This window comes from Homo sapiens, chromosome 6 (assembly GCF_000001405.40).
Source record: "Homo sapiens chromosome 6, GRCh38.p14 Primary Assembly".
Classification (NCBI taxonomy): domain Eukaryota; kingdom Metazoa; phylum Chordata; class Mammalia; order Primates; family Hominidae; genus Homo; species Homo sapiens.
In genome coordinates this window covers 144,568,720-144,588,962 of record NC_000006.12, presented here as the reverse complement: position 1 = coordinate 144,588,962, position 20,243 = coordinate 144,568,720, and the positions used below count along the sequence as shown (strand labels likewise).

At 36.0% G+C, this 20,243-nt stretch overlaps 1 protein-coding gene across 2 annotated transcripts in view; it reads right to left on the bottom strand.

Moving 5' to 3' along the window:
• The window catches only part of UTRN (utrophin), a 567,700-nt gene that overhangs the window by 264,072 nt on the left and 283,385 nt on the right, over nt 1-20,243 (bottom strand). Inside the window, exon 51 of one of the 2 annotated variants that reach the window (NM_007124.3) lies at nt 11,675-11,864. In NM_007124.3, the coding sequence (NP_009055.2) occupies nt 11,675-11,864 (190 nt within the window). Of the gene's footprint in view, nt 1-5,362; nt 5,816-11,674; nt 11,865-20,243 lie in introns of those variants that run through there. The other variant, NM_001375323.1, reaches the window with a different exon arrangement.

Genomic DNA, 20,243 nt, shown 5'->3' with positions numbered 1-20,243 from the left:
GCACTTCACATCCTTTCCAATTTCAATTATTTGGACTCATTTACCTCGCCCAGAAATGAATAAGCTTTGTGAAACTGAGAAAGCTACCAAGGCATAACATTTTCTACATTCTTTTATCTCTATGGTAGGAACTCTACTAATTACTTATTTTAGAGAACTAAAAATAAACTACCAAATATACTAAGAGAAGTTGGTAGTGATCACAGTTAAGAGTAAGAGGAAGGAGCTATGTCTGCACATTTAAAATCTAGCAGTACCTACAGCTAGGAAATTTCCACTTGAAATTTAATAAACTTTGCCTCTAGGAAAACACAAATCATCAACCCTTTAAGTTACAATTATCAAATAATACTCTACAAATAAAAGAGACCTTTTATCCGTATCCTTAATACTACTTCAACTCCATCTCAGAAGGACCTTCTATTTGTTCCGGATTTGTACTAGTATTACACTTCTAGACATACACCAATGATAATGATATCTTGGCTATAAAAGAATTTTAAAATGCTACCTTATAGAATGTATTAGTTATTCTTTAAGTGAGTGACAAAGCATTGCATCAGATCTAATTATACTGTTTTTAGCTAATTATATTGACTTTATCCAAGTCATTGATAGCATGAGTTTTCTGATTAAGAAAATGTTAGTTAATTGGATAACTTTTTAAAAACATAATTTTGACAACACATATCAACTTGGGGAACTACAGCAAAACAGAGGTCCAAGAGCTTTCTAAAATGGCACTTGTGCTCTTGGAAGCCACAGGAATCATGTCTGATAGTGGCAGGCAGGGGTGCAGGTGTTTTCTCCTTGATCCCGTCTCACTTTTGTCTGTAATCTTGACCTGACTAGGAAGTGCAGAAACAAACGCAGAGTAGAGAAAGTAGTCTGTGTGGGTATCCATACAGCTCCCAGGAAACACACCTACAGCATCCATAGAGAGGGTTAGATGGAGGCAAACCCATCTACATACGCCATTTTTCTCCATTAAACCTCAACCTTCACACAGTTTCTGTACTAATCTAACCAAGACTTTCTCATGAAGCCAAGAAGAGACAACTCATATGATCAAGTGGGAATTCTAACTTGCAGACTAGAGGGTCATGACTCTGAGCTCCATGGTTCAAACAATCTATGTATGAGTTGGTTATTGAGAGAAACTGAGGGAATCCAAGAGTTGACCTTAAAATACACACATCTCAACAATCAGATCATGTTAAAGTAAATCTCCATTGCCCTGGATCACTTCAGGATTTAATTGTCCAAGGAGAGCAGGGTTCTCCTGTGAAAAAAAGGTGGGGAAATGTTTGAGAGTAAAAAATACAAAATTCAACCGGTCGAAAATACACCACTCCATTCAGTGTCTTCTAAAAAACCACATACTCAACCTTAACTACCTCTAAATACAGGGAGCTGTACATGTAGATGAAAAATAATATGTGACCTTACTTCATCAGTGAACATAAAAACCTGCTGAGAGATTAATGTGCCTTCATGTTCATTATCTATTTACTCATTAGCACTACAAGCAACTACATAGTTCTGTGTTGTCCACGTCCACACATGAAAACACACACACACAGCCACAAAGCAAGCCTTTTGTAGACATCACTGGTCAATCGTGACTTCCCAGGTGGAATCTTCTGGTCTCTTCTATTTTTCACAGAATATTCAGAAGTAGTTGCTTTAATACCACAGAAGACACAGTATTCCGGGGAAGACTTTGAGATCAGCACCACACTGAAAGCTCAAGCCCCCTAGAAGGCCAGGCTAAGAATAGCCATAGTTTCACTCTGTATGTAAATGACTAGTCACCAAAATCGTGTTGTGTATACCACATAGAGAAAAAGAATCAACTGTGGTACAAAAAGGCAACAGTAGAAAGTAAGAACAAAATTATACACTACTAATATTTAATACATGATTTCACCATGGCATATATGTATAATTTTTAAATGAATACACATCTATATACAGCTAGATGTTTAAAAGATTTTTGCTGAAGAAATATGATCAGAATAGTTTGGGGGGTGACTAAAACCACTTAAACTAAAATGATTTACATATACATTCAAGCAAATAGAAGTTATATCACTTAAATCAACATTTTCTAAAATGCTTGAGTCACGAAGGAGTCAATTTACAGCACTAAATATTTTTAAATTTTTCTCATTTTTCTATAATGTTCATATCCCAATCTACTTTACAGGAAACTGCTTTTTACCATGCCCTCAATTGCTAAATATTTTACAGAAATTGGCACTAAGAAAAAAATAAGGAGGACTTACAAAAATCTCTTCTGATTTAACATTAACACAAATAACCCAGTTCTAATCTAAAGACTTCATGATATAAAACACCCCAAAGTAATCACGTAACAATAAAAACAAATTAAATTCAATATTATTTTTCAAATCATTTACATCAGCTTTTTTTCTACTGTGCTCTACTAAAAGAAAAATTATTTTATAGGCATGAAAATTTTAAAGAAACTAAGCAAACAAAACCATATCTGAGAAAATTAGCATCCAGTGTAGGGTGATTTTAGGTCATCAGGGCAATTTCAATGCTGCTAATTATATCTCCAAGTAAGCAGCACTTACGTTTTTGCTTCCTGCTCAAATTTTATTGGATGTATAACCGAGAAGAAATATTTTTAAAGGCAAAAAATACACGTGAATGTGTAAATAGATTGTGGGAGGGGAGTATATTTTAACTCTGAGAGCTGTGACATGCCTTTTTTCATTCCTCCCTTCTCTTTGAAACATACAAGAAAACCCACAAAATGAGAATATTCTACACAAGTATCTACTCGTGTAACACACACACTATCTTCTGACAAACAAGAGAAGTATGAAAATAAGCAGAAAAGACGAGCTGCCACAGAGGGAAAAGTCTAACAAAAGACTAAACAAATAATACATAAAAAGAATGATCCTCAAGAGGAATTTAAAAGAAGATAAAAATATTCAGACACTGAATTTCAAAATGCCAATATGAATTTTAAATAGTCAAATTTCCCTCAGATTATGCCACATTTTATTCTCATTCATTTTGGTCTCTACATGTATTTACAATAGACTGTTTCTGTATTTTTATGGAGATACACAAACTTAAAGCATTTTTTTCTAAGAAACTAAATTTAGAGAATGTGGGAGGAATAAGGAGAAAGTCAAGACAGCATTTACAATTTAATGGGAAGGGAATTTACAGTGTCTTAAAGCAAATAAATGTCAAACCCATTTAAACTTTTAGGTATGACACATGGACTATTGATAATTAAAATACAATTAAGTATTTTTGGTTGGTATAGCTACCTCTATCAATATTTGAGATGGCAACTGTTAATATTTAAGTCTACAACTAAATTTTCATTTCATTACATTAATATAGCTCAATAACTTAGATCAGTTTTCAAAATATAACCACACAAATAAAATTTATCTGTTACTAGTTTATTTATTTCATAGTAATTGTGCCGCTTCCTAATCTGGATTTCCAGTTCTTTAGGCAAAATCTCCTATGTCACTGCCTTATACTGACACCTGCTGCAATGTACTGGAATTGTACATTTCTCATTGCGTTAATCAGGCAGTTGTTAATTTTGCATATGGGAAAGAATACGTGGAAGATAGTATTTCAACAGCAAATAATGTAAATTTTAATTCTCTAAATGAAATAAGTAACATTTATTCTAAACATTTAAATTTTCATGGTATCTTTAGGAAATTATAAATCAAGAAGTCTTCCCAAAAAGCACTTCTGATGGTAATTTATCCAATGACTTCAGTGACTTAACTTGTGCCTATTTGCGGTAGAATTAGCAAACTAATTAGCAACTTTCTCCAATACTTGACTTCTGCTGTTTCATCTTTTGCACTAACTTAATACCTTCGACTTTAGAAAAATATTTGGTTTTGTGAAAGTACACACACAAACGGATCAGGAAAATGACCCTGCTCTTAAAAAAAAGAAAGCTTTATACATTCATACTGGTAGTTAAAAAAATTAAATAGCATGAATTAGTGAATGAGCTTTTCTTATCTATTATCAAAATTGCCTTTTCATGAAAAACATAAATGTTTTACCAGAATAAACTTATCCACTGAAGTAGAGCAAAACACAACACATTGAAATAACTAGGTTTACAAATCTTTGTAACTGAATTAATTAAGCTCCATTAAGTTTTAATTAACTTCTTATGCAAATAAAACTCTTGTAAGTATTTCTGAAAAGAATACCCCACTACCTGAATCTGTCTCCCAAAACTTCCGGAAAAAAAAAAAGTTTCCAGACAGCAATATATCTAATTGGCCAAATTGTAAGAAATTACAGTGTGATATAATAAAGTTAATGGAATACTGCTTCCCACCTCAATCTGCTGCCATATAAGCATCATCTAGATGCCTGGACATGCCATACTGTATATCATCAGAAAAATAATATTTTCTTAGAGGCAGTTGTTTTGATCACAAATGAGTTTGGGCAGCTAACAGAGCAACAAGATACATTCTTGAGAACGGTACTAAAAATATGATAGGAAGGAGGAATATAGTACTGCGGTAGTGTAAAAATTGCTATTATAACTCTCTCCTTTTATATCAAAACACTCTAATTTTGACAAAAGTAATGACATAGTATCAACATAGTTTGAATAAAACAAAACTATGATCAAACATATAACAGCTGACTTAAAAAAATACAGCAGCTGATTGAATGGTTTATGTTCGGGATGACGTAGTATTAGAAATTTGCAACTGTCAAACAAGTTGTCTCCAGTAAGTCTACTTAATTCATCCATCCAAGTGAAATTAAATTCTTCAAGTGTAACTATAATATATGGAGATTTAAGAATATAGGGGATGTTTTATGATGAAATTCAGTCTGATCATTTTTTTAAAATGTCTTTTAATTGTTTTAATTGAAAAAGCAATTAGCTATAAAACAATGGAACATTTTTTAAAAATCTACTGAAAGATTATTTGGCACTCTTCTTTTAATTTTACTAAAATTTACATAAGATTAATGTGCCATTCACTATTAAGATACTGCAAAGTACCAGAGAGGTAACAGGTCTTAATGAATGTAGTAGTTTTGCATCATATTTTCTCCAAACATTTCACTAGCCCATCTCAGAAGACAAGATTGTGTCAATTGCAAAAGAAACTATGTACTAAAACTAAAACCTGTTTTAGATTTTTAAACAAAATGTAATTATGCAATTCACTTTAACAGCTTTCACAATCAGTTACTAAGAAAGGGAATCTTTCCTTGATAAGAACCTGAAAGATTAGTTTTTAGAGCCTGAGAAACAGTAGAACTGTCAGACACCCGAGATCCTTATTTTCAATCACTCAGTTACCTTACAGAGCTTCTGATACCGAGGAGAAGAAACTGCCATCCTTTGTAAGCGATGCAACAAAACCACAACTTTCTGCAGAGACGTTCTCACCACAGCCATCATTTTAAGTTTACCACACTTCTGGAGACACCTCAGAATTTGCATTATAAATGAAGAGCAACGATCATTTCCTCCCGGTCACTGGACAATGATTTGTCAGTTCTCTGAGCATGCTCGTTTCCAGGAAAGCATTTGAAAGATACAGGGGGTTAGGTTCTAGGAAAAAGGAGGCTGGTATTCCTTCAACTTCTCAATTTAAAAAACACAGACAAACGCCACAGAGAAAGCCCCCCAGCAGATGCTCACAGGCAGCACTTGCTCAGCCCGGCATGGCCAGAAATGAAGGAAGTTGTCGAGCAGCCAAGCGCTGCCGGCTGCGGGAGAGGAGTGCGCTCAGTAGCCAAAGAGGATATTAAGTGAAACATTAAAGCTGCAGATAGAAAGCGGACATCCCCTGGGAACAGGGATTCAACATATCACTGCCACCACCACGGTGCATGCCCTGTAGCTGGTTTCTATTAAGAGAGAACAGAGCATTCACCGTCTCTAAAGAGGGATATGTTCACTACCCAATAAATGCAGCTCTAGCTGTGCTCTGTGAATTAGTGAACAGGAGACCCTGTTATAAATCTTGAGAAGAGCAGAAGGGTACACCTGACTCTGATGACAACAGCCCATACATTAAGTGCTAAAAAATCACCCCCAGACAGATCTCAGCCCAAAATCACCTAAAACAAAACAAAACAACAAAAATAAAGCAAAACAAAAAATACTTGCAGGGGTTATATGACTAAGACACCCTAAAAGCAGAGCGATCCAGTGGATTCTCATCTGCCTGCCTAGAAGGAAAGCCATTAGAAATGGAATAGGTTAGGATTTGTCTAATTAAACAGCTAAGTGAATAAAAAATTAAAAGTCTGTAATTGACTACTGAACATTCCAAATTGCCACATTTCCCCTTAGACAGCATCTTCATGATCTCATTGTATTTGCCATAAAGCTGTTTTAATTTTATGAATAGGAAATATGAGGCCATAATTATATCATATAAAAATCCAGTACATAATTTTGGGGTTCTATGTGTATATATATACACACACTTGAGACATATTCTCTACTGCAGCCTGAACATCATTGCAAATATCAACTGGGGTAAAGTACTATCAGGAGATGTGCAAAATAACCCTGGATGATTAAATGACTGGGTCAAAGAGCACAGCCAGAAATAGAACCCAGATGTTGCTCATTATCAGTGTCCTGCTCAAACTGGTAACCGGGCTAATGCTGCAATTTCACCTCTGTCTAATGTTGTCATGATTCTTTAAAAGAAATGCAGTATTTTCAAGTATTTGTTTTTCCTCCTTTACTTCATTTGCCTTTCTTAGTCCTTCATGTTACAACGATTTAAAGTCCTATATTGTGTCTTACAGAACGGTGTTTATCAAGCAGTGCTTTGCCGACTTTATTGGGTCTTATAGAACTGTGTTCATCAGGCAGTGTTCTGTGGACTTCTGCCTGTATCTTTTTTCCCTGCAGGTCCATACTGAGAATCTACACTGCCTCCCTCTGGTGAGGCTAACAATGTCACCATATCTGTGTAAAGCCAAAAGTGGAGAACATATTCAAAGGATAGAGTATAAAATGTTAAGGTATTTGGCAAATAGATAGAAATAGATTAGTGATTGTTCAGAGGGGAGGGAATTGGCGGGGAGGAATGGGAAATTGCTAGTAAAGGGAAGGGGTTTCTTTCTGAGGTAATGAAAATGTTCTAACTTGATTGTGGTGATGGTCGTACAATCGTGAATAGACTAGAAACAAATGAATTGTAAAATTTAAATGAATGAACTGTACAGTATGTGAATTATATGCCAAGAAAGTTGTTATTAAATAAGTATGAAGCTATAATTCCTGTCCTAGAACCAGCAGATGAAGTCCCCATGAGATAGGCATTCACCCCTCAAACACAGTGCTAAGCATGCAGCTGGGCACAGGAGAAAATCTAAAACAATCTATAATCAAAGTCTGCATCTATGGAACAAGACGATGAAAATGAGGCTAAAAGCAAACATAGGAGATAAAAGTGTAATAATCCTAAAACGTAAATTATTAGAGAGCAAAACCAGCCACCCATGACAACACCACTCCAGAAAGGCAGCAGAACTCAGGATTTTACCCAGCAAAGAATCAGAGCATTTCAATTAATTGGTAATGCCAAATGTAAAGCTGAAATTTTTAAATATAATTAAAAGAATAACAATCTTTTAGAATATGAACATGCACATTAAGAATAAATGCACTTGAACTAATAAACTAGTTGGAAGTCAATAATGGGCTTTCATACAAAAGCAAAAAATAAAGTTTCTGCATCTTTGGCCAAATACTCTTATCTGAATATAGATTCACAGTGACAACTGCATACCAGGCAATTCCTCCTGGATGTTACTCCAATGCTTCATTTCAACAAAGTCAAAACAGATGAAATTTGCCATCCCCACACATTTCCCGCTAACTTGCAACCCTGCTCTGACATTTTCTTCTATGTTCCCAGTCTTAGGCTCTAACACCACTTGGCAATCTGCCTTTCCCCTTCCTCAGTCTATGTATACTATTGAGTCATTAGATCTACTACCCCTGCCATTGTCTCCTTTCTGGTAATTATTACCTGTAGCCTGGATGGCTACATGAGTATCCTAACAGGCCTCTCTTCTGTCACTCTTGTCTAGTTCAAGTCCATTCCTCATACCATCAGCTAAATTCCTATAAAGCAAAAATCCCATTGCATCACTCTTGTTACTATCCTTTATGACTTCTCTTCATTGCCACTGGATTAAAATATAAATACTTGCATGGCATTTAAGACCCTCTATGAGCTGGACTGCTCAGTTCTCAAGGAGCTTGTCTCTCCTGCAGGGCTCCAAAGAATCGGCTTTTCTCTTGCCAAAAGGCTTCTGCTGGGGAATAAATCCTAACAGCCTTGCAGCAGGGCAATGAAACATAGATACATAAATCCAAATCATCATCCATCCTTAAAAGAATGGCATGTATCATAGCATACTCCCAAAAGTTAATCATCTTCCATGTGCTTTAGACCTATCCTTATCAAAATTCACCCAAGATTCACCTTAAACTGAGCATAGAATAAACTGCTTTATCTTCCTGAAATACTCCCATGGCCTTGGATCTGGTTGTCATAAGACATGAAGCAAGTATAAACAGCGAATGTGTCAGCTAAGTAGTTCTACATACACATCCTGTGCATGCAGCAAAGATACACGGAGCTCCTTATTCCATCTTCCTTAGTGCACAAAGACTGTGCACCACCAGCACCACCACCACCACTGCCACCACCATGCCACCAGAACTTTTCTGTTATGATTTGCCATGCTTCTGTACAGTCATTTTCTCCAACAAACGTCTCTCCATTTCCAAACAAGTTTCTATTTTAAATGTCTGTTTACTCATACAAAAGGAGAATCATTAATATACAACACCATAAAAAAATTAAAATTCTCTTGCCTCAGAAAAACTCAGTAAAAGGTACTAAATCTCTAACAATCTTCTATCTATAAGGTGCTGAAAATAAAACCATGGAACTTTTTTAAAAATAGAATGGAGAGAACACTTTAAAATTAAGAGCATTTAATAACAAAGCAAGGGAGTGAAAAATCATGCGAATTACCGTAATGTGAAACATTCTAAACATAAATGTACATATTTATCTTTAAACAAAGGAATTTTAGTGGACTCTTAGTAAATGTCCTCTTTATTACTTTCTACCAGCCAAAAGAGACTATTTTTAGCAACACTAAAGTAATAATGTATTATATTTTATAAAGCATTATAATGTATTTTAATATTTTTATCAGCACCCTTTCTTGATGCTGTTTGCCATAAGTAATCCTGTGCTTAGATATTTTTATTTTGAAAGATTTTAAACATTTCTATTTACATTTGTCTTCCACTGTTTGAATATTCATTAAATATTGAGAAGAGTCTTAGCTATGGTAAGAATATATCCTAAGATAAAATATGTCAGAAGACATCATTAAACTCTAGAATAGGCCTGTGTTTTGCTGGTGCTCATTACCAGGGTTCATTTAAAGCCTCCTTTATTCATTGTGTATAAACTGTTACCTACTCAAGTGCACAGCCTAGATAGCTACTGAAATTAAACCATTGCATAAGTTAACTAACTGTGAGCATTTATAGGTCAGGCTTTTTCTTGTTTAAATCATAAAAAAATAAATAATCTAGCATCTATCCACACTTAGAGTCCTCTATGACCTCCTAAAATACAGATGATGGCTAAATATTTTATCAATTAACATTTATAGTGACCTCATGAGGCTCAAAAGAGTGAGTCAAAGGAACAGATTTAATTTTGATACTTGCCTGGTCACACTCATTACCAAGTCACAAAATGTATTGCGCAATGAATAAGATAGAAGCAGCAATGTATTTAAACAGAAATTTTCAACAAATGAATCTTAAGAACTCAACAGTAAAACACCATGAGTTTTCATGCACAGGGACAATTTATAAATAAGCTCATTCCAAAAAGATCTGTTTTTCAAATTGTGTAACTTTTCAGTGAAAATAATTTCAAACTTAAAGAACAATTGTAAGAATCAGAGTAGTTCAAAGAAAGACTCTGTATCCTTCATCCAGATCCACACATTTGTTGACATTTTACAAAATGGTCTTTTTCATGTTTTCAGAGAAAAGAGTTCCTAAGAACGGATTTAAAAAAGGTTTCAATGCTGAGTTTCATAACGGTGAGTCAAGGTCCAAGGACAGCAGTCAGTATTCACTTAGGATTTGCACACAGGGCACTGCGTAGGCAACAATACAGATAATATAATCTCTGCCCTTGAAGAACCATGTGACCAACTGGGACAAGCAGAGACATGTATCAAAAGACAATGGAGGCCAGGCACGGTGGCTCAGGCCTGTAATCCCAGCACTTCGGGAGACCGAGGCAGGTGGATCACTTAAAGTCAAGAGTTTGAGACCAGCCTGGCCAACATGGTGAAACCCCATCTCTACTAAAAATACAAAAACTAGCCAGGCATGGTGGAGCACACCTGTAATCCCAGCTACTCAGGTGGCTGAGGGATGAGAATCACTTGAACCCAGGAGGCAGAGGTTGTAGCAAGCTGAGATTGCACCACTACACTCCAGCCTGGGCAACAAAACAACAACAACAAAAGACAATGGAACACGTGTTCACAGGTACATCAGAAATAATAGTTGTCAAACTGATGTGAGCATGGCATGGTATAAAGTAATCAGATGTAATACTATGGTTGACAAGGAGACTTCCCCATTGAAATAGGTTTTTGTTTTGTTTCTTTGGGAGTGGACAGAGTCTCGTTCTGCCACCTAGAATGAAGTGTAGTAGTGCGATCTTGGCTGACTGCAACCTCCACCTCCTGGGTTCAAGTAATTCTCATGCTTCAGCCTCCCAAGTAGCTGGGACTACAGGTGCGCACCACCACGCCCGACTAATTTTTGTATTTTTAGTAGAGATGGGGTTTCACCATGTTGGCCAGGCTGGTCTCAAACTCCTGACCTCAGGTGACCTACGCACCTTGGCCTCCCAAAGTGCTGGGATTACAGGCGTGAGGCACCACACTCCGCATGAATCAGATTTTGAACTGGAAGGTTCAAGAGTACTGAAGCAGAACTACTTGAGGGCAAAAAAAGATTCAGACGTATTTCATAAGATTCCTTATAATGTTTATAAATGAAAAGTTTTATATTAGCACATTTTGTGTAGAAGAAATATTTGAACCTCAGACTACATATACAATCACAGTTATCAAGCTAATGACATAAAAGTAATATCATCAAGCCTAATATTCTTAGTTATAAACTAAGCCATAGAGCTTTTGCAGCTTTTATATTAAGTATGTATAATAAATGGAGAAAGAAACAACTTCACATTAAGGGAAAATGCCCTTATAATTTAGGATTCAATAAAGCTAACCATAATAGGGCTTAAAATGACAAAAAGCAGAATAGCTGTGAGCCTCTAACTCTAAATAAACAATTATTACTTCCATAAAACAAGGTGGGTTTTTTCCCCTCTAACATTAAGTAAAAATATCTAATAGAGCTTATTTCAAGAAACCTATTATTCACAGGAGAGCACGGATTTCATAAGAGAATAAAGTGACAACTTCACCTTTTAAGGGTAACACATTTGCATGCAGAGGGATCAAAAGCACACAGGGCAAACACAGGTACTGGTGTGGTTTCCCATGCACTTACCTGCATCTGCTGTTTGAGTTCCCTGGCCAAGATACTATCCTGAAGAGCATTCTCCCGATGAGAGGCATCCACAAGCACATTCACTGTGGTCTCTGCTTCTTGGATCCACTTCAGGAAGTTTTCCAGATCTCTGCGAGAGGCCTGCACCGTCCTCCACTCAGCCTCCAAGGCGTTCTGTCTGTCAGCAATACTGAAAGTAACAATATGACAGCACGGCTCCATTACTTACAGTGTTGTGACATTCCACATCACGCATCCCCTAAATAAAAAACTAACAGGCAGCCCCCAAAGGACCTTTTATTCAAGTCACCATAGGTAACTGGGAGATTTATCTGTATGTGTGTCTTGAATAATCCTTAGTGGAGGGATCATGTGAATTCTGAGAAGAGTGAAAGGGGGAGAGCCATAAAAATATTAAAATCACATCCATATCATAAAATAATTATAACTACATTTTACAGCTCATAATTGTAAGTTAAATTATTCCCCCATATGTTGTAGGTCAATACAAAAGGCAATTCTATTCATTCAGTCACTGAATCCTACCACTCCTTTAAGGATTAAATATTCATACAGTCAGCGACTATACGAATATTTGTTGATACTGCCTTTATGTAAGTCAATACAATTACCTTTTGTGTTGACTTACATAAAGACAGTATCAACAAATACTCCTACAGTCAGTGGCTAAATGAATTCTAGGAAGAAATAATATCTGAAGAAATATTTAAGACAAAATAAAAATAATTGAAGCAGCTGATTTTATATATTTTAAACAATTCATATATATACAAGTTGGTTTCTTATTTAGTAATATTTAGAATGCATTGGACAAATGAGCTTCTATAAACCCTTCATTAAATCTACATCAAAATTAGAACACAGAGCTATCTTGGAGTTATATGAGTTAAGAGATACACACACCTGTAAATTCAACATTTAAAACTTTATATTCTTCAGAGCTCTATAATAAGAAAACAACTCAATTTTAAAAATTAGTATCGATAATTTCACTCCTAGGTATTTAAATCCAAGAGAACTGGAAATATTTCCACAGAAAAACTTGTACACAAATGTTTGTAGCAGCATTATCTATAATGGCCAACTAGTAGAATCAACCTAAATTGAGACAGAAATTAATAAACAAAATACACTATATTTATACATAGACTATTATTCACCCATAAAAAGGAATGAAGTACTGACACGTGTTACAATATGGATGAACTTTGAAAACACTATGTTAAGTGAAAGAAGTTAAACACAAAGGGCCAGATATGGTGAAATTCCATTTATACAAAATTTCCAAAATAGGTAAATTCATATATATAGAGAAAGTAGATTAGGTGTTGCCTAGGATTGCATGGTGGAGGACAATGGAGGCTGACTACTAATGGTATGGGGTTTCTTTGGAGGATGATAAATTTTCTGAAATTAAGAGTAGTGATGGTTGCCCAACATGGTGAATATACTAAAAATCCTGATGAATTTTGTGATACAGCAGTCCCTCCTGATCTGTAGGGGATACATTTCAACATCCCCAGTGAATGTCTGAAACCCCAGATAGTGCCAAACCTTATATATACCATGTTTTTTCCCATGCATCATACCTATTTTTACAATATAAATTAGGCACAGTAAGACATTGATGATAATAACTAATAATAAAATAGAACAATCATAACAATATACTGTGTAAAACTTCCGTCAATGTGATCTCTCTCTTTCTCAAGATTTCTTTTTGTATATACCACAGGTAACTGAAACCACAGCAAGCAAAACCACAGATAAGGGGGGACTACTGTATACAAATTGTATCACAGTAAAAATCAGCATATCTAATAGACTTTATTTACACGTATTTTTTCTCTCTGTCCATCCATTCATCCATCCATCCGTCCTTCTATCTGTATATATACATAGAGGGAGAAATGTCTGGAATATTAACTTAATATTCAAACAGTTATTTTTGGGTGCTGGGATTTAAGTTGGTTTACTTTCCTATTTGTACTTTTTGGCATTTTTTTTATTTTATAATGATGCAGTATCTTTTTTTAACATATCATTTTAAAAAATGGGCAAAAGATTTAAACCTATACGTTACCATAGAAGATGTTTAGATGACAAATAAACAAATGAAAATATGCTCAGCACATTAATCATTAGAGAAATGTAAATTCAAACCACAATGAGACATTACTTCATGTTAAAACGGCTTTAAGAAAATGACTATACCAAGGGTTGGCAGGAATGTGGAGTAACTGCAACTCTCATACATTGCAGGTAAAAGTACAGCCATTTTGAAAAACAGCTGGCAGTTTTTTGTAAAGTTAACCATGCATTAGTGATACAACTCAGCAATCTTACCCCTAGATATTTATCCAAGAGAAACAAAAACATATGTCTAGGTGGGGCACAGTGGCTCATGCCTGTAGTCTCAGCACTTTGGGAGGCCAAGGCAGGCAGATTACTTGAGGTCAGGAGTTCAGGACCAGCCTGGACAACATAGTGAAATTCCTTCTCCACTAAAAATACAAAAATTAGCTGGGCATGGTGGGGCATGCCTGTAATCCCAGCTACTCAGGAGGCTGAGGCAGTAAGAATTGCTTGAATTCAGGAGGCAGAGGTTGCAGTGAGCCAAGATTGTGCCACTGCACCCCAGTCTGGGTGACAGAGTGAAACTGTCTCAAAAACAAACAAACAACAACAAAAAAAACCACCATATGTCTACATAAAATCTGTATGCCAGTGTATATAGCAGCCTTATTGGTAATGGCCAAAAACTGAATACAACCCAAATACCAACTGGTATTACATACGGATAAAGAAAGTTTGGTACAGGGATACAATGGAATACTATTCCACAATAAATATAAGCAAACTACTGATACATGCAACAACATGCATGGAATCTCACATGCATTCTGCTAAGTCAAAGAAACCAGACACTAAAGACTACATACTAACATTCTGTTTATATGACATTCTTGAATGTCATCAACCTCATCCTAGCACTTACTTCTTAACCTGCAGAATCAGTTCAAATTTCCTCGCCTGGAATTTAATTTCCTCCATAATTGATCCCAGTTTACTTCTCAAACTTTATCCCCTAGTTTTCTTCAATACTCTGTTTAGGTAATAGTGGTGTGCTCCTTTTTCTCTAGAATATTCTTAATATTGTGTCCACACGAAAATGTTATATCCACATAAAAATGTCTTGCTGACCCTCTCCATTTATCACAATCCTACCACAATCCTACGACTCCTTTAAGGGTTAAGGACTACCTCTTCCAGAATATTCCATCCCAGTTCAGTATCCTTGTTATGAGTTCGTAAAAGGTCAATAATCCTCTTCAAACAATGATTAATCACATGAATCCTGGAAAAAGGCCTTGAATGATGATCTTGTTTCATTCTTAAATTGTATTTTAACTACATTATATAGTTTTCGTATCTTTCCACCCATTCTATAAACTGCATTTCAGCAGAACTTTTTATACCTTCATATTCCTGAGTCCTATTTATACAAGTATTTACCAAATGACAATCTTTCCATAATATTCCTTTATTTTATTTTATTTTATTTTATTCTAGAGATGGAGTCTTGCTCTGTCACCAAGGCTGGAGTGCAGTGGTGTGATCTCAGCTCACTGTAACCTCTACCTCCCAAGTTCAAGTAATTCTCCTGCCTCAGCCTCCCAAGTAGTTGGGATTATTGGCGCCTGCCACTACACCTGGCTAATTTTTGTATTTTTTTAATAGAGACAGGATTTCACCATGTTGACTAGGCTGGTCTCAAACTCTTGACCTCAGGTGATCGGCCCGCCTCGGCCTCCCAAAGTGCTGGAACTACAGGGATGTGCCACCACACCCAGCAAATTTTTGTATTTTTTTTTTTTAGTAGAGATAGGGTTTCACCATGTTGGCCAGGCTGGTCTTGAACTCCCAACTTCAAGTGATCTGCCTGCCTCAGCCTCCAAAAGTACTGGCATTACAGGCTGAGCCACTGTGCCCGGCCATGCTATGTCTTTAAAATTAGCTCCTACGGTTAAACAATTTACAAGAAAAAATCAAACTACCAAATCAAAAAGTAGGCGAAGGATATCAACAGACATTTCTCAAAGGAAGACATTTATGCGGCCAACAAACAGATGAAAAAAAGCTCAAAACCACAATGAGATACCATCTCACACCAGTTAGAATGGCAATTACTAAAAAGTCGGGATAAAACAGATGCTGGAGAGGATGTGGAGAAATAGGAATGCTTTTACACTGTTGGTGGGAGTGTAAATTAGTTCAACTATTGTGAAGACAGTGTGGTGATTCCTCAAGGATCTAGAACCAGAAATACCATTTGACCCAGCAATCCCATTACTGGGTATATATGCAAAAGATTATAAATCATTCTACTATAAAGACACATGCACATGTATGTTTACTGTAGCACTATTTACAATAGCAAAGACTGGGAACCAACCCAAATGCCCATCAATGATAGACTGGATAAAGAAAATGTGGCACATATACAACATGGAATACTATGCAGCCATAAAAAAGAATGAGTTCATGTCCTTTGCAGGGACATGGATGAAGCTGGAAACCATCATTCTCAGCAAACTAACACAGGAACATAAAACCAAACACTGCATGTTCTCACTTATAAGTGGGAGTTGAACAATGAGAACACATGGACACAGGGAGGGAAACATCACACACCGGGGCCTGTCAGGGGGTGGGGGGCAAGGGAAGGGAGAGCATTAGGACAAATGCCTAATGCATGCGGGGCTTAAAACCTAGATGACAGGTTGATAGGTGCAGCAAACCACCACGCACATGTATACCTATGTAACAAACCTGCACATTCTGCACATGTATCCCAGAACTTAAAGTAAAAATTTTTTTAAAAAAACTAAAAATAATAATTGAGCTAATTATAAAAAATAACTCCTACATACCATTTTTCAAGAAGCTCCTAGATATCCCCCACAGAACTCAGTTTGCAAATCAAGAAGGAGGAAGATATGAGAAGCATAAAAAAGAGATCCAGCCCAGGAAGAAGCAAAGGGGCTCTCCTGTTAATGGTGAGAGGAGATCACAGAAAAGAGGGTCTGAATCCAAACTGGAGCAGGTATGGGCTGTCTTCAGCGTTGCCACCACTCTGTATTCCTGTTTTAACGTGACAAAACTTACAAAGGATACACTCAGACAAAATGAGGAAATCGCCCCAAGAAGAAAACAAATAAACCAAACCAAAACAAACAAACAAAAAAGGCAAAAACAAACGAATAACACAAAACTTCCATGAGATCCAAGCAACAGGGATTCTAAACTAGGAGCAAAGCAAATACCCAGCATGATGGCTGTGCAGCAGGCCTAGAAAGCATGTCTCCAGAAGAGAGGTCACCAAGGACCAAGGAACAATATTAGAAGTGATAGCCTGCTGAATGTGACTGGCTTTGTGGAAAATTGTACTGTCAGGTCACTGGAAAATGTGGGAGGGATTAGCAATAGGTGCAAAGAAAACTAGGCATATAAAAATAAGGCAATTATTAATTTCAGGTAAAACAAACACATAGGAAACAAAATTACAGTAAACCTCAGTTTTTAGCTGGTAATAATGTTTGGACAAGCAAAATAATGTCAACACTGTATATGTATTTACCTAAAATTCAATGGCGAAGCAGGGAAAAGAACAGTAGCATCCCTAAGCAACTTCCTATGTATTTACCAAAATAGGATATCAGCAGACAATTTCTAATACTAAAGAATTGAAAGATGATGGCATACCCATTTTATTTAGAATATGGAAATGTAAAAATGATAGAAGAAGGTAAGGAGAATAGTTGCCTCTAGGAAGGGGACTGCAGTGAGTCGAGGGAAAAGAACTATATTCTGTTATAAACCTTTCAGTGCTTAGTGGTTGTTGGTTTTTTTGTAATCATAGGTGAATTTTAATTTTTAAAATTTAGAAGTTACCCACTAGAATTTGAGTAGTTGTTGTTGGTGGTGTTTTATCCTTCCCCAAACCCTGCCCATATTTTCCATTTTTAAAACATCAACAGAAAAAACATTAAGAATAGCCAAATGAAGGCTGTGCTAAAAAGGCACTAGAAAACAAAGATTAAAGGAGTGCACATATGCAATCAATCCACTACACACAGGTGATTCTCCTTTAAGAACATTCAATATATAAAATTTAGTCATTAAAAAATTTAGTAAGGTCAAACACCTTCATTTCCCATAATCAGAATTCTTTTTTATTATTTAAGAATATTCATATGCACATAATAGGTTATATGGCAACAGCTAATGTAAAAAGAGATCATTACAGATTAATTCTATTAAACCCTGAGAATGTCCAAACTAGGGAAAAGGATGCAAATGTCCAAGAAACCTAAGTGTAAAGGCAGATGATTCTTCTTATATGACAGATATTTAAATACCTAGCAAGTATAAAGGACAAGGCTACGAGGGGAGGTAGACAACCTACGGTCATACTTCAAAGGAAAAGTGAGCTAAGGGACCATGAGCACTTGGCCTCAGACAGTATTCCACTGGGTAAAGTAACTTCAGCAGCACACTTTGGTGACCAGTGGAACATTCTCAATCCAGAAGCTAGACCACCCATTGACAAATTATCTACTGATCATCAGTGAGAAAAGAGATACTACTTTAAAAAATATTCACTTTGTATGAAACTTTCAGAAAAACAAATTTTAGTTGTTTTGTAAGAGATGTCTACTTTGTTGGTTATATAAGTAAAAAAATATGGATTTTGGATTAAGGTAGACAAAGCTCCATTGCTCACTAGCCATGAGCGCTTGGGCAAGGATTGTCTTCATCATCCCTAAACTTTGCCTGATACACAGGTTTTCCATCATCTGACTCTGGCTCACCTCCCCAGGAGGCATCTCCCCACTTCACACTTCATATGTTATTTATCTATAAAAATGAACCAATTATTAATCCTCTGAGTGGTCACTGCCTCTGTCGCATCCAGACCTCTACATTTTACTTTTTTTTACCTTAAATATCCTCCTGCTCCTTTCCTCCAGCCTCCACTAATTTTCTCCATCCCACCTAGTTAACTTCTACTGACCATCCAGACCTGGGTGCAAACACTTTCCAAAACCATGGTACCTTCCCCAAGGCATCCCATAGTTTCCCCTACCATGGCTATTGGTGTTTCATTGCTGCTATCATAAATAACCACAAACTTTGTGGTAAAAAACAACACAAGTTTATTATCTTACAGTTTTGTCAGTGATCAACACGGGTCTCCACTAGACTAAAATCAAGTTATCAGCAGGGCTGCATTTATTTCTGGAGGGTCTAGGGGTGAATCTGGTTCCTCTTCTTTTCCAACTTCTAGAGGTTGCCACATTGCTTGACTCATAGCCACTTCTTCCACCTTCAAATCCAGCAACAGCAGGTAAAGTCGTCAAATCACATCTCTCTGAACCACTCTTCTGCCACCTCCTCCACCTTTAAGGACTCCTGGGATGAAATGGGGCTCACCCAGAAAATCCAGAATAATCACTTTGGGGGACACTTTTCTGCCTTCCTCATTGTATCTCTGATCATGACAGTAAGCAATTGTTTTCTTGCCTGTTTAAAGCTGTTGCTCATCAGTGCACCCAATAGGACCAGGACCTACATACAGTAGAAACTCAACAAGTATTTATTGAATAAACTTATACAGCAATAGGAATAACATCTCCATATTGCAGCAATATTTGAAGGAGGAAATGAGATATACACATATAAATGTATCAAGATATAGTGAATACTCAGTAAATATTTTCCCTAACCTCATGTATGAATTTGGTGAAATACTAGGCAATTAATTTTGCTTATTGCATGCAAATGTGAAATTTAATGATAAGTGTCCTGGAATTTTTTTTTAATGCATATATAGCTGGTATCAAATTTTTATCATAAACTTAACTACTAAACATAATGACTATACTAAAAGTCAAACCCTACTTATAGCAGTGCAAATTGTCTTCATATTATTATAATGAATGTATGTGTTTAAGTTTAAAATCATAGCTTATACATGTTATTTTATATTCTGATTTTTGAAATTAATATAATTTATATAAAATTTCTAATAGACTATAGCTTAGTTGTTTCCTCCACCTCCAGTTTATTTTTTCTTACTTTTAAAAATTAGACCCTAGGCTAGAGTATGGTATACTCAATATTACAAGATTTTTTATCCATTCTCAAGGAACTCCACATGATTTATCATAATATCATAAGTCAATAAAATCACTGAAATTAGAGTCTCAGGAACACGTATTCATACTTTATTACACAGGTGAATATACCACCTTTAATGCCATTTGTGTACACTGCTCTCAAAAGACAATGACCTAATTCTATCACCTCCACCATTTACTAGCTGTATGGCTTGGGGTAAATCATTTCAAATCTCCAATTTATTTTTTTCATCCTTAAAATAAGGGGCTTGTACTGGATCAGTAAATTACCCATTTCAAAATCTCCAGAGATCCTTTTAAAACTACATAATCCATCACAGGAATCACAAAACCTACTAGAAGTG